This window comes from Homo sapiens, chromosome 8, assembly GCF_000001405.40.
Source record: "Homo sapiens chromosome 8, GRCh38.p14 Primary Assembly".
NCBI classification, from domain to species: domain Eukaryota; kingdom Metazoa; phylum Chordata; class Mammalia; order Primates; family Hominidae; genus Homo; species Homo sapiens.
Window position 1 is genome coordinate 111,675,589 of NC_000008.11, and position 25,477 is coordinate 111,701,065.

The 25,477-nt window shown below is 36.5% G+C and overlaps 2 annotated features.

The window, feature by feature from the left end:
- Positions 2,545–3,051: an enhancer, noted in NCBI's record as "NANOG-H3K27ac hESC enhancer chr8:112690362-112690868 (GRCh37/hg19 assembly coordinates)". NCBI's record gives its function as "activates a minimal SCP1, AML or CMV promoter by ChIP-STARR-seq in primed H9 embryonic stem cells {active_cell/tissue: H9 hESC(primed)}" and the evidence as "EXISTENCE:reporter gene assay evidence [ECO:0000049][PMID:30033119]".
- Positions 4,492–4,786: a silencer, noted in NCBI's record as "tiled region #110; HepG2 Repressive non-DNase unmatched - State 24:Quies". NCBI's record gives its function as "represses a minimal TATA promoter and a strong SV40 promoter by Sharpr-MPRA in HepG2 cells {active_cell/tissue: HepG2}" and the evidence as "EXISTENCE:reporter gene assay evidence [ECO:0000049][PMID:27701403]".

Sequence of the window (25,477 nt, forward strand, 5' to 3'; positions counted from 1 at the left end):
TGCATTCCAGGAATGAGGCTGACTTGATCGTGGTGCATATGTTTTTTGATGTGTTACTGGATTTGGTTTGACAGTGTTTTATTGAGGATTTTTGCATCAATGTTCATCAGGGATATTGGCCTGAAGTTTTCATTTTTTATTGTGCCTCTGCCAAGTTTTGGTATCAGGATGATACTGGCCTCATAAAATAAGTTAGGGAGGAGTGCCTCCTTTTCAATTGTTTGGAATAGTTTCAGATGGAATGGTACTAGCTCCTCTTTGTAACTCTGGTAGAATTTGGGTGTAAATCCATCTAGTCCTGGGCCTTTTTTGGCAACCTTACGTCTTGATGGATAGAAGACAAAGGGCCAGAGTAAGTGAGATATTTTTAATAGTACCTTTGCTCCTCCATAATTGCTCAGAAACAGAATATCAGTCCACTCCTCTTAACTACATCATAGGGTAAAGCAAACATTTCCAGGAGGTCTTCACCCTTCTTTATGGGCATCATTTGCTCGGTCTATTTTTCCGTGGGTTAGAGTAAATGAGGCAATGATTAGAAATGTGTCTCCTATAATAGGCTCTATAGCAGATTCTACAACAAGGGCTGTGACTGCAGAGCAGACTTTTAAACATTATCTTGCTAATGTTGTGCTAGATATTAAAATTTCTCCTGATTACTTATGGCTGAACAGGAAAAAAATCTGACTCTTCTTGATACATGTGGATAAATACTTTAGGCAATATAAAGACTCAGGTGCATGGAATTGACAACTAGGTTCCTAGTTAAAACAAGACAACTTTTTTTCTGGCTCATTCTTTGATCTATTTGATTTTAGGTGGTTTGGTTAATGCAGTGCTAAGGAGCATACTCTGAACTCTTGATATTATGTCCCATATAATGGTAGTAGTAGTCTCCCTGCCACACTGTATTCTCTCTAAAGTTTTAAATGTTTGCTTGCAGCCATCTGTAGAATATGAAATGGTTTCTCTTTGACTGGAATAAAGTTCTATTTCCCAGTAGGACTTGAGACCAAATAAATCCATTTGTAATAGTAACCAAGTAACACTAATGCCAAAATTGAGAGATTGACCAAAAGAGGAAAAATTGTTAAATTAAGTTAAAGCTGCTCCCTTACATATTTTAACTTTAGCCTAAAGGTTTCTCCGTATATAATGGTCTGTAACCTATTTGAATATGTAAATAGACTAAAATATAATTTTGTACCAGTAATAGAGTTGCAGCCAACTGTTAAAACCATGTTCAAATAAGGCAAACACTGAGCTGTAACCAGTCCTGTGATTTCTGTACCTTACATCCATTTTCTATATGTCACTTTCCTTTTACTGTCCATAAATATTATCTAACCCTGTGGTAGCCCTGGCATCACTCTGAACCTATTTTTGCTTGACAGGCTGCCAGATTCTCAAATCATTCTTTGCACAATTAAACTTCATTTAATTGAATTTGTTTTAAGTTGTTTTTTTTTAACAATTACTACAAACTCTAATTAACATAATTATGCCAGATTTTGCCTGGTTTGATACACCGAAGAGTTCCATTCAGGAAATACTACACAATCTAAGTAGTCACTGATTTTTATGATATGGTTTTTTTAATGTTTCAAATGATGTTATAATTTTTTTTCTTTTTTCCAGAGTATAACATTTTCTCTTATTCATTCTTCACAGTGTTTATTTTCTTAAAAGATATCTCTTAGATGGTTATTAGCTACATTGTTACCATGAAACACAATTAATTTTTACTATCAACTTGCAACAAAGCTGGTATACATCACTGGTATTTTCATTATTTGTGTCAATGAAACTTATTTTAAACTAAACTGACATAGAATGAAATAATTAACATTTAACACATATGCCAAATAAAGTCCATCCTACAAAAAACTAATACCTTATAGGTGCAGAAATAATGGAAGACAAGTACAAGAAAATGCTCAAATTTACAGAAAGAGAGGGGATGTCTCTCTGTAATAATTTAAATTTTTTTAATTAAAATTTTCTCAGGCAATAAGATGACAAGAATTCATGTCATATTGACTGAGACCAAAAAACCATTGAGGAAGAAAATTATAAATTATCCTTTTTTCACTAAAGTAAACAGGAAGAGTTAAGAGAAAATAATAATCAAAAACAATTTTAGTATACCCAATTTAAATCAGATGGAATGTTTAAAACAGAAATGTGTGTGGTTACAAGGACTTTGACATGAAGCTTTAATCTACAATAACCTGTACTTCTGTCAATTCTACTTATCAGAAAAAAAGCTTGTTTATTTTAGTGGTAAAAGAGATATTTAAGGACCAGAGAGCCACTCGCTTGTAATAAAGAAGTCATTTTTGTCTACTAGATTTCAGTAAAAAAGGAGAGATTTTCATTTTTAATAGGGAGGTACAGACAGAAAAAATGAACATCCTTTCAACAGTTACAACATAAAAAAGCTAGACAAACTGTAAGTTAGGAACATTTATTGAACCCATCAAAAATGTGATACCAACACATTACTCAAAATCTGGAGAGAGTATCACAGAGTGAAACAAAACCTTAGCAATTGCTAAGGTGGGGCAGCAGGGTCACAACATGTAAACTAGTAGGAAGATCAACTTAAGAATTTTTAAGAAGTTGCTATAGGCTGAGTATGAGCTAATGTGAGAGTATGAGCTAGTGTGAGAAAGAAGTTTAGGGCTGTAAATATAGACATTTGACATCCTCTTACAGACTATTCTTCCAGAACCTCACGAGGACTTCATAGGAAGGAATGGGAAGAATCTGAATGAAGCTTTCTACCTGGGGCTTTCCGGGGGAAGATTACAGTAGTTAACTGATCTCCATATCTCCTCTACAAAACAATGATCCTAACCTACAAGGGATAAGAGCAAGAAAAACCATTATTTCTGAAACTGAGGGAAACCCATTGCAGCTTAGGAGGAATACAGAAAAATAAAGGCTCTACTATTGGAGGAAGAACAGAAATATGTGTTAAAATAAGCACAACAGCTTCAGGAGGAGCAAGAGCTCTTCTGAAGGGCCCATACTCAAGACACAGGGACATAGACGCTGCCTAATAAAGAGGTTTAATCAGAGCCTAAAAGAGTATTTTACTCCCCTGCCATCCCTCCTCACCACTAGTCTGATTATCCAGTAAACATAATAATGGGGACTTCCCTTTTCAGCCTGAGATACAAAGAACTGGAATCAGTGTCTCTCCCACAAAGAAAATCTGAAAAAACCCACTGTCAGAGAAATACTGCACAAGACAACTTAGACCAAAAAGAAAAACTTGGAAAAGAAATTGAATGCAACTCCACTGAAACAAAAAGTGAGAGCGTCTTGAGCACTGGGGTGAGCTAGTGGAAAGATACTGAACAACATTAGCAGGGAGGTTGGTGTCTCAGTCTGCGCAAGCTTCTGTAACAAAATATAGAGTAAATGGCTTAAACAACAGACATTTGTTTCTCACATTTCTGGAGACTGAGAAATCCAAGATCAAGCTTCCAACTGAATAGATTCCCTCTTCCTGGCTTGCTAAGGACACTAATCCCATAAAGATGGCCCTGCCCTCTTGACCTCACCTAAGTCTAATTACCTTTTCAAGGCCATTCTTCCAAATAGCATCATATTGGGTGCATCGACGTTAAAGAACAGCAGAGACAGGCTCTCCAAAGAAAGAGTTTATTTAGGATTATCAGAGGATTGCAATTCAAGATATGCATGGTATGTTTAAACCACAGGCACATCCAAGAGGGCTGGAATGAGGAAAAAATATATATATATGTATATATTTAATTAAATATATATATTTAATTAAAGGAGATAAGGAGATCAGTTCATGTAAGCTGTTTTGAAATAAGGGCCATTGGTTATAGGGGTTTCTTGCAAGAGTTGGCTTTGGCTAATTAGCAGAGGCAGCCACTGTTAGACAAATGTCCTTGTGCAAATGGCTTCTCTGGAATACTAAGTTTTTAAGGAGTTCCTTCCATAGTTCTTGTCATAGAGATACATGCATTAATTTATTTTGATAAGTCCTGTTACAGGCATACTGGCATGACGGTTCCTTCTTTATGGCCTGACAGCTCCATTTTGTTGAGTTTGACGTAAGTGACTTCATTTTGATATTGATACTTTTTTTTTTGGTAACTTCGACAGCGGTTAGGGTTTCAATATATGAATTTTGGTGGGGACATAAACATTCAGTCCATAATTTAGTTCATGTAGTTGTCAATCTGTGTTTGCTAATTGGTGAAGTTAGGCCCCTGACCTTACACAGAGACTGGAAGATGAAGTCTCTCTGTTTCTTGATTTACATTTCAAAGGAATAACTTGAGAAAGACATTCCTGAGTAGTAAACCAGCAAACAGACTGGGAGAAAAGATTTGTGTCTCAAAGGGGAAGAGAAAGAATTTAAAATAGAAACTTTTCTAATGTAAAATACTCTAAACATAAGGAGACCAGTAGCCTATAATCAGAAAGAAATCTATCTAAAGTTTATTTAAACTGAGGGAAGAGTTAAGGCCATTTTGGTGACTACAAATAAATAAGTTAATTAGCAATAAACTTTCCTTGAACAAATCAGAGAACTGAAGATGCAGAGCAAACTTTAAACCTGAAATCAATCAGGAGAGACACAGACTCCTAGAGGGAGAAGAAAGTTGGCTGGATTTGCTCATCAGGGGCGGATCTCCATACAAAGCAGTTAGAAGATTATCATGAGAGCGTGAAGCCCCTGGGCCCCACAGACATAAGGGTATTCACATCCTCTTGCAGGCAGAATCTCACCACGTCCTGACTGAGAAGATCAAAGAGATCCCTGAGAAAGCTCATTGTGTGCTGGCTGGGGGTGGGAAATGACAGCCACATGGAAACCCAGGCAGCAGACCCTTATCTCCACCTCCACTAGGGAAAGGAGACAATCAACAGGGAAAAAATATCATCCAAATCTATAGACTGAGGACACTTGGGAGGATAACAGAAGTCACCATGGGAATTTCACTAAGATCCAGCTCCCCTGCCTTCCCTAGGGAAAACAAAATCTAATCATTAGGGAGAAGTTTATCGAAACCTATAGCCTGAGGACTTTGGGGAAGGGAACAGAAGCTAGAATGGAAATTTCACACAGACCCAACTTCCCTATCTATATTATGAAACAGGAAGCTTAATCAGCAGGTGGGAGGTCATCAGAGCTGCAACATGAGGGCACTGGTGGAAAATCCCTGTAGCTGAGAGGGGCACAGAGGAATTTTTTTTTTTAATAAATAAAATAAAAAGAGAAGAAAATTCAAAAGACAAAAATAAAATAAAATAAAAATAAATAAAGAGCTCTAGCCCTGGAGTAGAGGCAGAGATACAAGCTAAGTCCAGCATTATATCCAGAGGGAAGGCAGGAACAATTATGATGCTGATGCCTCCAGATCCAGGGTTAAAGAACCTGCTTAAACAGCCTTAATGGAACATCCCAGAGCACTTTCTCTTCTCCACCCCATACCACCAAGATGACAAGCCTCCAGTAAAAATAACGGTGAAGTCAGCTGGGAGAGTTGTAAGTGGGAAGCAGTGCAAAAGGAAGACCCAAGACAAAACACTGAAAAAGAAACAGAGCATTACTAGGAACTTGAATTTTCTGGATAGCTGAAGATAGTAACTACAGCAACAACAAATTTCAAACCCTGCCAAACTTCTACATAAAATTGCAAACTAATGTCTAACAAAAAGAGGCACTTATATCCAAATATGTAATAAAAAAAAGTTCCCAGTATCTATTGCCTATATATTTCTGTCTTTCAACAACAAAGAAAAACTGAGGCATACAAAAAGTAAGAAAATACATATTCAGAAGAGACAAGGTAATCACCAGAAATAAAGTCATGTATGAAACAGATGTTGAAACTATCAAACAGAGAATTTAAAATACGCACAGGAAGTCAATAAAGAGAGCACTTTGGGAGGCCGAGGCAGGCAGATCATGAGGTCAGGAGATCGAGACCATCTTTACTAACACAGTGAAAGCCCCGTCTCTACTAAAAATACAAAAAATTAGCCCGGCGTGGTGGTGGGCGCCTGTAGTCCCAGCTCCTTGGGAGGTTGAGGCAGAAGAATGGCGTGAACCCAGGAGGCGGAGTTTGCAGTGAGCCGAGATCGCGTCACTGCACTCCAGCCTGGGCGACAGAGCAAGACTCTGTCTCAAAAAAAAAAAAAAAAAAAGAGAGAGAGAGAGAATAATAGATAATTTGCAAAATCAGATAAGCAATTTCGGCAGAGAGAAAAAACTGTAAAAAATATCAAACAGAAATACTGGAAATTAAAAGAGAAAAACAAGAGATCAGCAAGCAGCATACCACCACTGCAACCACAAACTACCCCCCACTACCCTACCCCCCCACAAAAAAAAACAAATTACCTACAGGGAAATAAAAATAAGAATTACAGTAGACCGCTTGTTCAAATCATGCAAGCAAGATGAGAGTAGAATAACATTTTTAAAGTGCTAGAAAAAAAATAAATACATTAGCCCCCTATTATCCATGGGGAATATGTTCCAAGACCTCCAGTGAATGCCTAAAACTGAGGACTGTACAGAACACCATATGTACATTTTTTCCTACACATACATAACTATAACAAAGTTTAATTTATAAATTACACACAGTAAAATAATAACTAATAATAAAATAGGACAAATGTAACAATATTCCAGACCTGGCATGGTGGCTAATGCCTGTAATCCCAGCACTTTGGGAGAACAACGTGGGATGATCACTTGACCTCAAGAATTCAATACCAGTCCGGGCAACATAGCAAGACTTCGTCTCTATAAATAATAAAAGAAAAGTTAGCCATGTGTGGTGGCACGCACCTGTTCCAGCTACCTGGGAGGCTGAGGTGTAAGAATCACTTGAGCTCCAGTGGTCGAGGCTACAATGAGTTGCGATCTTGCCACTGCACTCCAGCCTGTGTGACAGACTAAGAACTCATCTCGAAAACACAAAAACAAACTGAAAAATGACAACAACAACAACAAAAACCAATATTCCAGCATCATTACGCTTGTGCTTTGGGGTCTTTATTAATTAAAATAAGGATGATTTGAACAAAAGTATTGAGATGCCATGACAGTCAATCTAATAACCAAGATGGCTACTAAGTGACAAATGGGTGGGTAGTGTATTCAGTATGGCTGAGCTCCACAAAAAGGCAATTCTCATGCCAGGCATGGTGGGGCAGGAGGGTCTGAGATTTCATCGCCTAACTTAGAACAGCCCACAATTTAAAATTTATGAATTATTTCTGAAATTTTCCATTTAATATTTTTGGACCACAGTAGACCACAATTTCTGAGGTAATTGAAACCTCAGAAAATTAAACTGTGGATAAGGGAGTAGTACTGTAAATAAAATCTACCAAAGCTGACTTCTATGTCTTCTGAAAGTACCCTGCAAAGGTAAAAGGAAAAAAGAGTTTCTCAGACTAATGAAACTAAGGGATTTATTTCTAGCAAAAACTGTACAAAAAGTGTTAAAGGAAGTTCCGCAGGCAGGTGAAATATGGTATGTCATATCTTGGATTTAAAATAAAAGAAGAAGTTTAGAAAATGAATATATAAAGGAAACATATTATTTTAAAAATGTGGAAAGTGTTCTAAAAATATTGCTTAAAGCAATAAGAGTAGCAATGTATTGTGTGTTTTAGCATATGTAAAAGGGCAATGTATGTCAACAATGGTAAAAGAGAAGTGAGGAATGGGGATGATATTGTTTTAAGGAATTTACTAATAAATCTCCATAAGATTTTCTGAAAGTCAGTTTAGATTCCTTAAAAATTGACATTGTAAACCACAATGTAGTCATAAAAATATTAAAATAAGAGGAATAAATAATAAATAAATGAAAAGATAAAACTAAATTATAAAAACATTCAGTTAAACCCATGGAAGAAAGAAAAAAAGGAAAAATAGAAAAGAGCTAGCAAGATGGTAGATTGTAATCTAATTCTATCCATAATACTTTTAAATGTAAACATTTTAAATACATCAACTAGAAATCAAAATTATCCAACTGAGTAAAAGAGCAAGACCAAACTACATACTACTTACAAGAAACCATTTAAAGACAAGCTTAGTTTATAAGTTAAAAGCTAGGAAAACATGTCAAACAAACACTAATCAAAAGAGTTGGAATAGTAATATTGATTTCTAAAATATCACACTTTGAACAAGAAATATTATGTGGAATAAAGATGGACATTATATAATGATGAAGGGGTTAATCATCCCAGGACATGTATGACCTAAATTGCAACGTAAACCACTTTGCCCCAATGGATGCAAATAGATGTCACCATCATCATTAGCAGAATAAACATTCTTCTCAAGTGTGAATGAGATATTTACTGCAATAGATTATAGTCTGGACTATAAAACAAACCCTGTTAAGTTTAAAAGAATACATATCATAAAGAGTATGTTCTCAGACTACAGCGGAATTAAACTTAAAATCAATAACAGAAAGACAACTGAACAATCTTCAAGTGCCTGCAAATTAAACAACATGCTTCTAAATAATCTGAGTCCAAAATTAAATTCAAAGAGATCTTATGAAATATTTTGGACTAAATAAAAGTGAAAATTCAATGTATTTAATTTTGTGGAAAATTTAATGTAAAAACTGCTTCGAAGGCAGTTTTTTGGGGGGAAAATTACAGCATTAAATGCATGCATTAGGAAAAAAGAAAATCAAAATCAGAAAACTAAGGTTCCATCTCGGGATACTACAGAAAGATATTAGCAAAGTAATAATTTAACATCCCAGCCTCCGTCCCAACATTCCAGTGACAGTGACCAGTTACCAGAATAATTTTATTTGCTATTTTTATAAATCACAACTGTAAACCTATGCCTAATCAGCACCCTCCCTCAAAAAATACCTAATACTTTTTTCACAGTCATAAACATATTAAATAACAATAAAAATGTCATTTGATTTCAGAATTTCAAATTATAGAAGGCAAGTAGAATTTCTTAGTACAAATTTAACAACATAGAATATGATTTATTAGAAAAGCTCAAGATTCAAGTTCTCTACTGCTGATGGAGGAAAGGCAAGATCAGATTAAAAATACGGACCTTTCCTTTTCATCTTTCTTCACATTCATTCCAATGTTATATTTGCCCTTCCATCTTACAAGCAGCCTCTACTAATCTATTTTTAGAGAAGCAGCTGGCCGATATTTTATGTCTATAGACTCATGAAGTATCTATGGTATCTCTGGGAAAAAAAAAACATAATTTTTTAAAAAGCATTCTCTAAGTTTGTTTACCAGGTGGCAGCTGTTTAACAAATCAAAGTTTTGAGATAGAAAAAATGAATTAAGATTTAGAGGTGAACAGTTTTTCAAAAACTAATGATCACAGTCTCATAAGCATTTGGATGAATTCACAGATATAATATACTGTTTGAAGTTGTCATTCTACAAAAGTTGACATGCTGGGAAATCATGAGCCTCATGCAAGAACATGGAAATTTTCTAAGATTATGGCAAATCTTTGGATTGTGTCTAGTTTGTCATTCTACCATCTGTTTAACATGGATTTATTACTGGTTATTGGCTTGGAGTAAGTAATCTTTAAATTCTCTCTTCAGTTTGAACAGTGATCCATAAAGTTTCATCCATAGAGCCTCTGCAGGACTCCATGACTCAGTCAGCACCATGCTTAATATAAATTCAAAGCAAAAAAAAACAAAAAAAAGATTTATATCCAGCTGTGGCCAAATTGTAGCTCATAGGTTAAACTTGTCCTTCTGTGACTCCAATATTGCAAAGAGAACAGCTGTATGGGCAATGCTACACTTTCCTTATTAACCATGCAGAGATAAAAGCTGCCAGAGAGGAGGTTTCTATCTTAAAATAATGCCTGACTACAGCACTGAGGTTAATTTACTTAAATTGCAAATCATGCATAGAACATTAGATCCCTTGTAGTCTGATAATAAGATCTAAATTATTGTTGATACTCCCAGAGGGTATCATCCCTAATGGTCCAAATAGTTACTAAGTTTTAAGATGCTATAATTAAATTACTTTTATATTTTTCCTTTTATATTTTACCCTGTAGTATGCATGCATGTAACAGCAGGCTTCCATTTGTCCTAAAGCCTGCTATGTAAGTCTGTCTGCATTTGTGGAGGACTGTATCCTTCCTGTACATTTTATTATATTTAGGTGCCCATATAATCTCTGAGATTATGAACTCAGATATATTTCTGGACAAAACAATATTGAAAACCAAAGCAAAAATATCAACAGTGACAGAATTATTAGTATATCTGATGATAGACCTTTAGTGAAACATATGGAGCTGTAAAAATCAAAGATAGTCAGAGGGTGGTAAGAGGAATGGAAGAGTTTCACATCCAACTATCTATTTGATAGCGATTTCTACTTGCGGTTTTGAAAAAAATCTCAAGTGTAATATATCCAAAGCAATGCTTCTGATTTTCAAGGTTGAAAATGGTTCCACCAACCCTCATGACTCAGGTAATTCCTTATACCCCTACCACAACTTCTTTATAGAGTTTTATTACATCTATCTCTAGCAAAGATTTTGGTTCAGAAAATCTCTGTTGATCTCTGCTTATATTTTCAGTCACCCAAACCAGCATTATCTGTTATTCCAAACTTGTCTTCATTCTTTCAAGTTATTTTATCTTCCTTGACATTATTTTAAACTTTTCTAATACATTCTTCACAGAACAATTGGAGTAATTTATGAAAATAAAAACAAAACAAAGACACTAAAAATCTAGTTTCCCCACTAAAAATGTGGCAATGACTTATCATTAATAAAATCCAAACTCATTATGGTTTCTGTTTTTCTCTCCAACCTCATCTAATACCACATTTTATTTTTTCCCTACTATATTCCTAAAACTAGCAGATTGTCTTTTCTTTGAACATGTCAAGAACTTTTTGAATTTAGGGAATTTGCATATTGTTTTCTTTAATTCTCTCATTCTTCCTCTACCTATTTAAATGTTGTCTAATTTTTCCTCCTGGTTTATATAACCTAATCTGTTTCCTTCTGAAAATAATACAAACTTTATTCAAACTGGCCTATAAAATTGCAGGATCTATTGGCCCCGTGTGCTAAAAGTCGAGATGAAATGCCGACTTCAGGTTTCTTTAATTCGATAGTGTCAGCTCTATTTCTCTGGATTAGCTAAGAGTTACTTCCCTGAGGTGGCTTTGATCGGTAATTTTCTCATTTTTTTTTCTTTCTTTCTTTTTTTTTTTTGAGACCGAGTTTCACTCTTGATGCCCAGGCTGGAATGCAATGGCGCCATCTCGACTCACTGCAAACTCTGCCTCTTAGGTTCAAGCGGTTCTCCTGACTCAGCCTCTCGAGTAACTGGGATTACAGGTGCCCACCACCATGCCCGGCTGATTTTTTGTATTTTTAGTAGAAACGGGGTTTCACCATGTTGGCCAGGCTGGTTGCAAACTCCTAATCTCAGGTGATACACCCACCTCCGCCTCCCAAAGTGCTGGGATTACAGGCGTGAGCCACAGCACCTGGCCTCTCATGTTTATATGTTAAGATTAATTTTTTTAAAAAAATTTCTTCAGAAAAGCAACCTTATTTTTCAAAATTAGAGTTCACAGTCATCCCTGAATCAACAGCTGTGGAATGGAAAATATTCAGGAGCTGTTTTAATTAGTCTTGTATCACCTGCCGCATTTCTAGGTGCTGTTAGCATCTCTCAAAACAGATAAGTTGTGGTTATGCACATAAAAATCAGTGTAGCTTCCAAATGAGAGAAGTTATCTACAATATCCTCTTCAAGAACTCAGTTCAAACATCATTTTCAAAAATATCATCTGTAATCATACTACCTAAATTAGCTTCCTCCAGTAACTTTCTATCCCATCATTACTGATTTTCTTCTGTGTAGTTATCACAATCTATAATAGTATTGCATATTATTTGTTATATTATTATTATTTGTTGATTGCTTATATCTTCTACTGCTATAAAAGGTACATGAAGATAAAGACTTTGTGATGATACTTTTGTTTAATTCCACAACTAGTTCAATGCCTGTATATCTCACACTTGTTAAGAGTATAATAATAACAATGTTCTCATTATTATTATTATAACTTTTACATTTAAGATTATATATGCAGGTTTGTTACACAGGTAAACTGTGTGTCTCAAGGGTTTGGTGTACAGATTATTTCGTCAACCAGGTAATAAGCACACTACCTCACAGGTAGTTTTTTTTATCCTTTCCTTTCTCCCACCCTCCACCCTCAAGTAATCCCTGGTGTCTGTTGTTTCTCTCTGTTTCCATGTGTTCTCATTGTTTAGCTCCCACTTATACATGAGAATATGTGATTTGCTTTTCTATTCCTGCTTTAGTTTGCTTAGGATAATGACCTGCAGCTCTATCTGTGTTTGCTGCAAAGAACATTATCTAGTTATTTTTTGTGGCTGGCTGGTATTCCATTTATATATATATATATATATATATAATTTTATATATGTTTTATTATATATTTATATATATTTTATATATTATATATATGAATGGATATATATATATCACATTTTCTTTATCCAGTGTATTGTTGATGGGCATTTAAGTTGGATCCATGTCTTTGCTATTGCAAATAGTGCTGCAATGAATACACATGTGCATGTGCCCTTACGGTAGAAAGATTTCTATTTATATTTCTTTCAGTGTATATCCAATAATGAGATTGCTGGGTCAAATGGCAATTCTGTTTTACGTTCATTGAGAAATCACCAAACAACTTTCCACAATGGCTGAATTACTTTGTATTTCTACCAGCAATGTATAAACATCCCCTTTTCTCTGCTATCTTGCAAGCCTCTGTTATTTTTTGACATTTTAGTAATAGCCATTCTGACTGATGTGAGATGGTATTTCATTGTGATTTTGATTTGCATTTATCTAATGGTTAGCAACTCTGAGCATGTTTTGTGTGCTTGTTGGCCACAGGTATGTCTTTGCTTGAAGTATCTGTTCATGTCCTTTGCCAGTTATTTAATGGGATTGTTTGGTTTTGCTGTAAATTTATGTTCCTTATAGCTGCTGTATATAGACCTTTGTCAAATGCATACATTGCAGATGTTTTCTCCCATTATGTAACTGTCTGTTTACAGAATGGGAGAAAACATCTGCAATGTATGCATCTGTTGATAGTTCCTTTCCCTGTTAGAAGCTCTTTAGTTTATTTAGGTCTCATTTGTCTATTTTTATTTGTTGTTGTAATTGCTTTTGGTGTCTACTTCATAAAATCTTTGCCAGTCCTGATATCTAGAATGATATTTCCTAGATTATCTTCCAGGGTTTTTATCGTTTTAGGTTTTACATGTAAATCTTTAATCCATTTTGAGTTGATTTTTGTATATGGTGTAAGGGAGGGGTCCAGTTTCAATCTTACGTATATGGCTAGCCAGTTATCCCAGTACCGTTTATTGAATAGGGATGCCTTTCTACATTGCTTGTTTTCATTGACTTTGTCAAAGATCAGATGATTATAGATGTGTGGAATTATTTCTGGGTTCTCTATTGTGTTCCATTGGTCTATGTGTTTGTTTTTGCACCAGTTCCATGCTGCTTTGGTTACGGTAGCCTTATAGCATATTTTGAAGTTAAGTGACTAAATTGGTTTCAGCTTTTTTCTTTTTGTTTATGATTGCTTTGACTATTAGGGCTCTTTTTTGTTTTATACAAATTTTTAAATTGTTTTTTCTAATTCCATGAAGAATGTCATTGGTAGTTTGATAGGAATAGCAATAAGTCTATTAATTGCTTTGGACAACGTGACGTTTTTGACTACATTGAGTCTTCTTATCCATGGACATGGATTTTTAAAATTTGTTTGTGTCAGTTCTGATTCTTTTGAGTGATGTTTGTAATTCTCAGTGTAGAGATCTTTCACCTCCCTGGTAATCTGTATTCCTGGATATTTTATTATTTTTGTGGCAGTTGTGAATGGGATTGTTCTCAGCTTGGATGTTGTTGGTTTATAGAAATACTACTGATTTTGGTAAATTGATTTTGTATCCTGAAACTTCGCTGAAGTTGTTTATCACATCAAGAAGATCTGGGGCAGAAACAATGAGGTTTTCTAGGTATAGAATCATATCATCTGCAAACAAGGACAGTTTGACTCCCTGTCTTCCTATTTGGGTGTCTTATATTTCTTTATCCTGCTTGATTGCTCTAGCCAGGACTTCCAGTACTATGTTGAATAAGAGTGGTGAGAGAGGGCATCCTTGTCCTGTTCCAATTTTCAAGGGGAGTAATTCCAATTTTTGCCCATTCAGTATGATGTTGACTGTGGGTTTTTCATAAATGGCTCTATTCATGGCAGCCCTAGGAATCTAACACACCATGTAAAAGTGGATCTGTATCCATCGTTGTTTATGTACAATGGAATGCTACTCAGCCATAAAAAGAATGAAATCTTGTCTTTTGCAGCAACATGGATGGGACTAGAGGCCATTATCTTAAGTGAAATAACTCAGAAACAGAAAGTCGAATACTGCATGATCTTAAGTATAGTTGGGAGCTATATATTGTGCACACACGGACTTAGAGAGTGGAAATACAGACATCAGAGACTCAGATGACTGAGATGGTGGGATGGGGGTCAGGGATGAGAAATTACTTCGTGAGCACAATGTACACTATTCAGATGATAGTTACACTAAAAGCTCAGGCTTCAACACTACACAATGTATCCAGGTAGCAAAATGGCACTTGTACTCTCTATATCTATAAAAATATATTTTTATGTATTAAAAAAATGGCTCTTAATATTTTGAAGTGTCTTCCTTCAATGCTTCGTTTGTTGAGGACTTTTAACATGAAGGGATATTGAATGTTATTAAAAGCCTTTTCTGCATCTATTGAAATAATCATGAGGTTTTTGTTTTCAGTTCTGTTTAAGTGACAAAGCACATTGATTGATTTGCATATGTTGAACCAACCTTGCATCCCAGGGATAAAGCCTACTTGATCATGGTGGATTAGTTTTTTGATGTGGTGGGGGATTTAGTTTGCTAGTATTTTTGAGGATTTTTGCATCTGTGTTCATCAAGTTAATGGCCTAAAGCTTTCTTTTTTTGTTGTGTGTTTTCCATGTCTTGGTATTGGGATGATGCTGGCCTAATAGAATGAGTCATAGAGGATTCCATAGGATTCCATCTGCTCAATTTTTTTTCAGTCATTTCAGTAGAAATGATACCAGCTCTTTTTTATACATCTCGTAGAATTCAGCTGTGAATTTTCCTGGACCTGGGCTTTTTTGTTTGTTTGTTTTTGTTTTTGATGAGCAGACTTTTATTACTGATTCAATTTCAGAACCTGTTACTGGTCTGTTAAGGGATTCAATTTCTTCCTGATTCAGTCTTGGAAGACTGTATGTGCCCAAGAATGTATCCATTTCTTTTAGGTTTTCTAGCCTGTGTGCACAGAGGTGTTCATAATAGTCTCTGAAATGTTTGTGTATTATTGTGGGGTTGGTAGTAACATCCCCTTTGTCATTTCCAATTGCATTTATTTTGATCTTTTTCCTTTCTTTCTTTCTCTTTTTCTTTCTCTTTTTCTTTCTTTCTCTTCTTTCTTTCTCTTTCTTTGTTTTCTTTCTTTCTTCTTTTTTTTTGTCTAGCTAGCAGTCTATCAATCTTTTTTTTTTTTTCAAAAAAAAAAAAAACCCAACTCCTGGATTTGTTGACTTTTGGATGTTTTTTACGTCTCACTTTACTTCACTTCAGCTTTATTTTTTGTCTTCTAGTAGCTTTGGTGTTACCCTGCTCTTATTTCTTTAGTTCATTGAGTTACCATGCTAGGTTACTGATTTGAGATCTTTCTAACTTTTTGATGTGGGTGTTTAGTGCTATGAACTTCTCTATTTGGCTTAATTGTGTCCCAGAGATTCTGGTATGTGTTGTATCTTTGTATTCACTAATTTTAAAGAATTTCTTGACTTCTGTCTTAATGTCATTATTTACTTCATAGTTATTCAAGAGCAGGTACTTAATTTCCATGTAATTATATGGTTTTAAGCAATTTTCTTAGAATTGTTTTCTGTTTTCATTGTATTGTGGTTCCACAGTGTGGTTGGTATGATTTTGTTTTGTTTTGTTTTTAATAAGTTGAGGACTGTTTTATGGCCAAGTATGTTGTTGATTTTAGGGTATGTGTCATGTGCAGATGAGAACAATGTACATTCTATTGTTTCCGAGTGGAGTGTTCTGTAGATGTTTATTGGCCCATTTGGTACCGCTGTGTTCTTGTCCAGAATATCTTTGTTAGTTTTCTTCCTCAGTGATCTGTCTAATAATGTCAGTGATGTGTTGAAGTCTCCCACCATTATTGTGTGGTTATCTAACTCTCTTCACAGGTCTCTTACTTGCTTTATGAATCTGGGTGTTCCTGTGTCTGGTATGTATATATGCAGGATAGTTAAGTCATCTTGTTGAATTGAGCCCTTTACCATTACGTAATGACATTCTTTGTCTTTTTTTATCTTTGCGGGTTTAAATTCTGTTTTGTGTGAAATTAGGAAAGCAACCCCTTCTTTTTTCTACTTTCTGTTTGCTTGGCAGATTCTTCCACTATACTTTGAGTCTACTGATGTCACTGCATGTGAGATGGGTCTTTTGATACTGTTGGGTCGTGCTTCTTTATCCAACTTGCCACTCTGTGCCTTTTAATTGGAACATTTATCCTGTTTACATTCAATGCTAGTATTGATATGCAGATTTGTTTCTGTCATCACGTTGTTAGCTGGTTATTATGTAGACTTGTTTGTGTGATTGTGTTACAGTGTCATTGGTCTATGTACTGAAGTTTGTTTTTGTAGTGGCTGATAGGGGTCTTTTCTTTCCATATTTAATACTCCCTTCAGGATCTCTTCCAAAGCATGTCTGGTGGTAACAAAAATCCTTTACCATTTGCTTGTCTGAAAAGGATCTTTTTTCTCTTTCGCTTATAAAGCTTAGTTTGATCAGACATAAAAGTTTTTATTGTAATTTATTTTCTCTAAGAATGTTGAATATGGGACCCCATTCTCTTCTCGCTTGTAGGGTTTTTGTTTTTGTTGAAAGGTCTGCTGTTAGTCTGATGGGGTTCCCTTTGTAGGTGACCTGCCCCTTTTCCCTAGCTGCCTTTAACATTTTTTCTTTCATTCTGACCTTGAAGAATCCAATGACTATGTGTCTTGAGGATAGTCTTCTTGTATTTTGCAAGGGTTCTCTGTATTTCCCGAATTTGAATGTTCGCATATTTCCACATTTCTCAGAGGTCTTCTTTCTTCTATTATTATTATTTTTAATCTTTGTCTGACTTAGATTGGAGAACCAGTCTTCAAGCTCTGAGATTCTTTCCTCAGCTTTATCTGTTCTGCTGTTAATATCTGCAATCGTATTATGGAATTCTTGTAGTGTGTTTTTCAGCTTTATCAGATCATGTTTGTTCTTTCTTATAATGGCCATTTTGTCTATCAGCTCACATATCATTTTAATGTAATCTTTAGATTCCTTCAGTTGGGTTTTGACATTCACCTGAATCTTGATGATCTTCTTTCCTATCCATAATCCGAATTCTATTTCTGTCATTTCAGCCATTCCCGCCTGGTTAAGAATACTTACTGGGGAACTAGTCCAGTCATTTGAAGGAAAGAAGACACTCTGGCTTTTTGAATTGCCAGATTTTTTGCATTGGTCCTTCCTCATCTGTTTGGGCTGATGCTCCTTTAGCTGCAATGTGATTTGAGTACAGTCAGTAGAATTCTTTTCTGGAAGTTTTCAGATGGCTGAGGTTTTCTGCAGTGTCTTTAATTGTAGCTGAATTTTTATCCTTGGTTTCACAGGGGAGTATATTAGCAAAGTATTTTTGGTGTTGAAGTCTGGGCTGTGATCCAGTAGATTGTGCTTAAGTATAAGAGCCTGTAGGTGGGGTCTTGCTTAGCCACATGCTCCTCTGTATTTTCTCATAATTGCAGCCATGCTTCCTCTCAGTGCTCTGAGAGTGTGGGCTCCTCTCCCACTAGAGTGCTGGCTGCAGATCTCAGCATGCACTGTTGGGCTATACACTGCAGCTCTAAGGCAAGCTCAGGCTTTATATTCCCTCCCTAGCTTGGAGGCATCAGGTGAAGGAAACTTGGTAGTGGTTGTGGTAGAGGGTCTTTCACTTGTCTCTTGGGGCTCTACCCTAGTGAGATGCAGAGCCATTGTCAATCAGTTTGATTGGACTGCAGTGGGGCTGCTGTGCTGTAGGCCCAAGACAGGGGCCCCAGGTGGTGACAAGCAGAGGGTTCCAGGGGGAGGGGTATATATAGGAGATAGACTGGTATCTTCTCCTTAGGGCAACTGCAACTTGCTGGAGGTGTGGTTAAAGCACTCAAGTTCTTCCTTCTTCCCTAGTCTGAGGACAGCAAGGGCAGTACCACTGCAGTGGCAGTGGTGGAGGGTCATTTAGTTGCCTCCTCTGGGAGCTCCACCTCAGAGAAATGTAGAGTCACTGCTACTGGGAATGTTCAGCCAGTGGGTAGGGCTACTACACTGCTGTCCCAAGCTAGGGGGCCTGTTTGGCAAAAAGTGGGGGATTGGAGCTCACAGAGAAGAGAGACTGGGCTCCTCTCCATATGGTGGCTGCTGTGTGCTAGAGGTGCTATTGTAGCTTTCAGGACCTTTATTCCTTTCCCAACCTGAGGGCAGTTAGGGCAGTACCACTGCAGCTGCAATGCCAGAGGGGCTGTAGTTTGTATCTGGAGTTTCCTTCTCAGAGAAATGTAGAGGTACCTCCAACTGAAGTGTTCAGGAGGGACAGACTAATTGTACTGGGGGCCCAGGTCAAGAAGTCCTACCCAATGAAAAGAAGTGGGAATTGGGACCCATGTGGAAAACAAAGCTTTTCCATAGGGTGGCTGTTCTGTGCTGGGGATCCACACCAGTCCCTAATCACCCTGCTCCCTCCAGAACCTAAGAGGAACAGTGGTGAGGGCTGCAAGACAGCAAAAATGGCAGCTTGTCTCTCCCTCTGGAAGCTCCTGAGCGGGAGCTCCCTCCCAGGGAACTGCAGAGCTGCTCTCAGCCTAGGAAACCAGGTGAGGCTGGTCTGGCCATGCTAAGGCCCCAGGCCAGAGGGCCTTTTCCTGCTAGGTGTGGTGGAGGAAAGGCCTGAAGTTCATTAGTGCTCAGCCCCTGGATTTGGCCCCTTTCCTGGGGGCATGCAAGCGGGCATAATATCTCCCATTTTCGGGGCTGCAGCTGTTAATATCAGGATACCCTGGGATCAAAGGCTCCTGGGACTCTGCATTTGCCTTGGCGGGCCTCTGCCTAGACTCCATGTAGCTCTCCATGTCAGTTTAGAGACCCAAGGTCTTCAGGGACTCTCACTCACCATTTCCCCATGGTTGGGGGGCCTTCCCTGGCTCAATGCCACTCTGGTGAGTGGTTGTCTCATCTCACTTCTCTCCATTTTCCGCGGGTCAAGTTGTTCCCTTGATAAATCCCAATGTGTCCACCTGTATGTTCCAGTGGAAAAGCTAATACTTGCCAATCTGTCTTCTCTCCGTGAGAGTTGCACACAGCAGCTTGCTGGAGGTGTGGTTAAAGCACAAGATAGCTTCTGGTCAGCTATCTTGGATCCTCCTTCCTATTTTTTTTTAATAAGTGTTGACAAGGATGTGTGAAGATATAGATAAACTGGAACTCATACATCACTGGATGAAATGTAGAATGGTTCAGCCCATGGAAAACAGTATGAAGATTCCTTAGAAAATTAAAAAACAAAGATAATTCAGTGATCCCATTTCTGGATATTTACCCAAAAGAATTGAAATCAACGTCTTAAAGATATATTTGCACTCCCATGTTCATGGTAGCATTATTCACATAGCCAAGATGTGGAAACAACCTAAATATTCTTAGACAGATGAAGAAATAAAGTAAATATATTCTGTTCACATCATGGAAAATATTAGGCTTTAAAAATAAGGAAATCCTGCCATATATATGTGATGACATGGATTAACGTGAAGAACATTGTTAAGTTAAATAAGCCAGTCACATTAAGATAAATACTGCATGGTTTCAGTTATATGAGGTATGCAAAACAGTCAAATTCATAGAAAAAAAAAAGTACAATGGTAGTTGCCAGGGGCTAGAGGTAAGGGGATATGTGTAGCTGGTGTTCAAAGGGTATAAAGTTTCAGTTATAGAAAATGAGTAAGTTCTAGAGATTTGCTCTACAATATTGCTCGTCATAAATAATACTGTACAGTGCATTAAAACTAGATTGCATGTTAAGTGTTCATATCATGAGAAGAATAAATAAATCATCTGAAAGGTCCAAAGCAAAAGGAAAAAATTGTCAGGCAAATATTTACAGAAGAATTCCAAAATCTTAATAATTATGGCTTTTAAGGTTATTTAAAATAAGTACATTCTTAAATCCACAGAATGACTCAATGCTATTTACTGATGGCAATAGTTCATTCTTAATGTCAGGAGTTAACTGAATATTTATCCAACTTAAATTTTCTTAACAATATAGCTGAAGTTATGCTTTTGAGAAAAATATTCTTTCTGTGAAATATAAATGCCAATTCCTATATCAAAATATAGTAAATAAAGAAATATATTACCCAAGAAATACTTCAAATGGCTCTTTTTTTAAACAAAACCACATAATATTTATCTTGTTTTGCTAAAAGATATAAAATAAAATAACACCAAAGCCTAAACTAATTGCTATGACTCACACCTATAACTCTGAGGAAAATATCCTCAGGAATTCTCATACCCATTAAATAAGTAAATGAAACTTCTGTACAGTTGTCTGAAAAGTTATACCTTATTATTTCTAAAGAAAATATTTTGTTCTATTTCCAAAGCAAAGTCTACTGAAATAATGCATTAAAATTTTGAATTTTAAATATGGAGTAAGAAACCTTAAAAACCTATAATTAGTTTGTGGGATAAAGTGCTTTAAACGGAATTAAATTTTTTTTTTTTTTTTTTTTTTTTTGAGATGGAGTTTCGCTCTTTCACTTAGGCCGGACTGCAGTGGCGGGATCTCAGCTCACTGCAAGCTCCGCCTCCCGGGTTCACGCCATTCTCCTGCCTCAGCCCCCCGAGTAGCTGGGACTACAGGCGCCCGCCACCGTGCCCGGCTAATTTTTAGTAGAGATGGGTTTCACCGTGTTAGCCAGGATGGTCTCGATCTCCTAACCTCGTGATCCGCCGGCCTCGGCCTCCCAAAGTGCTGGGATTACAGGCGTGAGCCACCGCGCCCGGCCTAAACAGAGTTAAAATTTAAGGAGATTTGCAGGTGTAATTTTCTGTCATCATTTTAAAATCATTTGTAAAACCTGAGGGAATGATTAAGATATAATAATAGATTATTAACCAATATCCTAATTATACCTAAACTATAGCTAACAATATCCTAATTATACCTAAATTGTAGCTAATCTAGGCATGCCCAGAGTTTGTACACTTCAATTTTGTGTGGTCTGAAAGTTTTCACTTACCAACTCTCACATGAACAAGACAAAACTAGGTAATAACAATTGTGACATTTGGTGTTTCAGGCAATTGAAAAATGCATTATTTTAATAGGTGAAAATAGAGCTCCTTTAGAAAAAGAACTGCTTCTGTTTAGGACAATATGTTGATAAGATACATGGGAGTGGAAAGTAAGGCTCTGAAAACGTTGACTGAAAGAAAAAAAAATGAACCAAAGGAGTTAGCTAAACTGCTCTTCATAAGAAACTTACATTTAGATGGGAAATGGGAGAGCACAGAAAAAAATATGTGTAGAGTTGGGGAGAAGAGGGTTTGGTATGAGATTGAGAGGGTGGGCAACATAAAAGGGGGAATAAGGTTGTAAGTAGAGTATCTTGGCCACATTAAATTCCTTGAGATGGAGTGGCCACAGGTATTATGAGATTACAGATGTCTAACATCCAATTTTAATTTGCCACGTTTTCTTTAACGTAACCACTTATTCTCTGAACTCCCAATACATCTAACACTCATAACAGTAATAACTTAAGACACAAAGAGATAAGAGAGTGGGAGGACTAATGAATAGTTTTTGTATTCAACCCTCTATTTCTGATGTCCATGCTGATGTAGGATTGTTTATCTACAGGACGGGTAGATCCACAAGGTTCTGTTTATGACCATCACCAAGGTGAATAGTTATTCATCACAGAGCTAAAGAGTTGCAAGGAAGCTGCAGCAGCTTGGAAATAATTCAGAGCACTCCATGGGCCAGCTTCCTTTCTCAAATACCTTAGTGAGAAGTGAGCTTGGGAAAGGAGAAGCCGACATCTGGATTACAGTGATGTCATCACTTATTCACAGATGAAGGATGATTTAATTATTCCAGGAATTTCTATCTGCATTGATATGCAGTTAAAACTTAAAAAATAATCTGTGCTGTCATTTAGAATCCTTCTAAACAGAGCTTCATTCAAATGAGGGCCATAATTGTATAATGTGATATGAGTATTAAATTGTGTAAATGTAGAGAGGTAACTTTCTGGTAGCAAATAGAAAACTGACTGAGGGTAAGAGATAGGCACAAAACAAGAGGAAATGGAGGTGAGAGTAATATGAAGAGGGAGATAAACTTCAAATGTGGAGATTTAGGAGACAACCAAAGGTGAGAGGGCTTTTGAGTCATGTTTTTCAACACGCAACAATCCATCTGTCCAGTGATTTTTTTTTTTAGTCACTTACAGACTGGCATGTTTATGAACCCTGCCGCCTTCCACAAATATCCCATATGCAGTAATGCCAGGCAACTTGCCAAGGGCAGAGGACAGCTAAAGAACACATTTATATTCCAAATTAGCACACAGAAAAATCATGTCATTTCAAATTCTAACTAATATACAGATACAAGCAGAAACACTGAAAATGAGGAAAATAACTCTACTGTTGCTGAATTACAAGGAAATAAATGGAAACTTTCTGCATCTTAAGACTAATGAAAAAGAAAAAGAAAAAGAAAAGCCCAGGATAATTAGATTATCAAGTGCAATAGCAGTAAACAGGAGCTTAGAATGAAACATAGGAGTGTTAAGAGTATGAGATAGTGAGCATAAGAGGCTTTAGTGGAGAATAGATAAGCTAATTTTTCTACCACTCTACAGAGTTATTACATATACCTTCATTAAGAGACATCAAGAATTACCATTAGGCCTATTACCTGTGCTATTGCATGTATATTATTTGTGTATTTATTTGTATATTAGAACTATGTGTATTAGCATTATAGATGCATAGTGAGAAATAAATGAATTCTGAACACATCTTTTTATTATCTTTATACATTGTTCAGTTAAAACATTCTTTTATGTGTTTTTAAGAAGAGTTTTTTGTTTTTCAAATGGGTAGAATAAACTTATTTTGAGATCTCTTTCTCAAATTGGGAGAATACTGTCTGTAAAAGTATTACTGCAATTCGTTGTCACCTTTTATATATACAAATGAATACTGACAAAATGAGAATAGAAAAAACACAAAAGCACAATGCATTTTTTCCATTGTTTCTCTATTTACTATTCTTGTAAATAAAATTGTTGTTTGGTGTGCGGGGAGGGGTGGTTCTTAAACCATTCCAGAGACGACTGTCTGCTAGGCTTTGTACTAGTCTGACTGTATTGAGGAATTTGTGGACAAAGAGAAGGATCTTTTACAGTATCAGTGAAAGGATTCTTAAAGGAGGGGACAACAAGATAAATTTTCCTGAGAAACAACAGTCAATTGAGCAATAAAAGCAGGGTTGTCATGGCACTAAGCTGGAATGTCACATTGATGATCCCTCAATGAACCACAATATCCTTCATCCATACCCTTATGTAGTCACTACTCACACTAATCTGGGCTTAGCCACATGGCTAAATGTGGCCAATGAGACCTTAGCAAGTTTAACGTAAGCAGAAGTTTGGCGCGCACTATTATGGATTGAGTGTTTGTTGCTCCCCAAAGCTCATATGTGAAGCCCTAACACTCAAGGTGATTATATTTTGAAATAGAGCCTTTGTGGAAGTAATTATGGTTAAAGGAAGTCAGAAGGGTGGGGTCATGATCTAATAGGATTAGTGTCCATATGAGAAGAAACACCGGAATGTGCTCTCTCTTTCTTGCTCCTCTCTTCTCTCCCTAAGTGCAAGCACCAAGGTAAAACTATTTGAGGACACAGAGAGAAATCATTTGCAACTAAATCAGCTAAAACCTTGATCTTGGACTTCTAGCCTCCAGAACTGTGATAAATAATTTTGGGTGTTTAAGCTACCCAGTCTGTGATATTTTGTTATGGCAACGTGAGCTGACTAAGGAATGCACTTTCACGTGACTTAAATGTTCCCTCTAGGTAACCCTCTAGACTACATGGGAGTCGAGATTATCCTCCAGTGGAGAGAGGATAATGGAGAAACCCTGGAATGTGGGGTATTATATGAAGAGAGTGAACATGTAGAAGAAAACTGAAGGTTCTTTTCCTGTTTCCAACAGTCAATATTTCAGCCTCTTGCAAACATATGAGTGACGCAGCCAGCATAACATGAAACACAAGGCTCATTAAGTTTACCCAAAGGAAGCACAACAAATACTAAACCATTGTTGTTTTAAGCCACTAAAGTTTGTGATTTTTTTTTGTAGTTAACAAATTGTTAACTAAAAGAAGCAACTGGCTTGAAAATGAAGCTGTTTTGGGTAACATACTAATAGTTCATTAGTGATTACAAATCAGGTATAAGGTAAAAGAGAGATGCATTTCATTGGGGGGTAACTGTCAAGTAGACAGTTTATAATTAACTTGTCAAGAGAATATTTGCTATAATAATATGTTTTTTATTATTAAGCAAATAAACACAATTGCTGTTCATTCACTATGTTTGAATAAAATTATATTCCAAATATCTATAGCTTCTGCTTTCAAGCAAGCTTGAAGTGAATTTGGTTAAAAATATGTGACAACAAGCCTTCCTGGCTTCCTGCTATACAGAAAGCCGGAAGGAGCATCACTACCATAATAATAGGAAAAAGTTGGATAATCTACATTATTATAAATTTTACATAACCCATCAGGGACCTAGAGTCACAGGATAATGAAGTAGTATTACATCTTAAGGAAAGGTCGGTGCCTCAAAGAGAAGGTACTGGCTCCCTGCAGCAAAGGAGGACAATGTGGCATACAAGCAGGAAGGAAGAATTCAGCTACAAACTTTAACAAATTTCAAAAGGGCAAATGCAGGTCTGTGTATCAGTATAAAACTTCTAGGAGCTGCACACACACAAGATGAGCACACACGCACACACATACATGCACACACACACATATACACGGACGTGTGTTCTTCTCTGTGGACTACTTCTGGCACTCCCAAGAAAGCCCAGGAGCTTACTCAATATTACATTACCTTATTT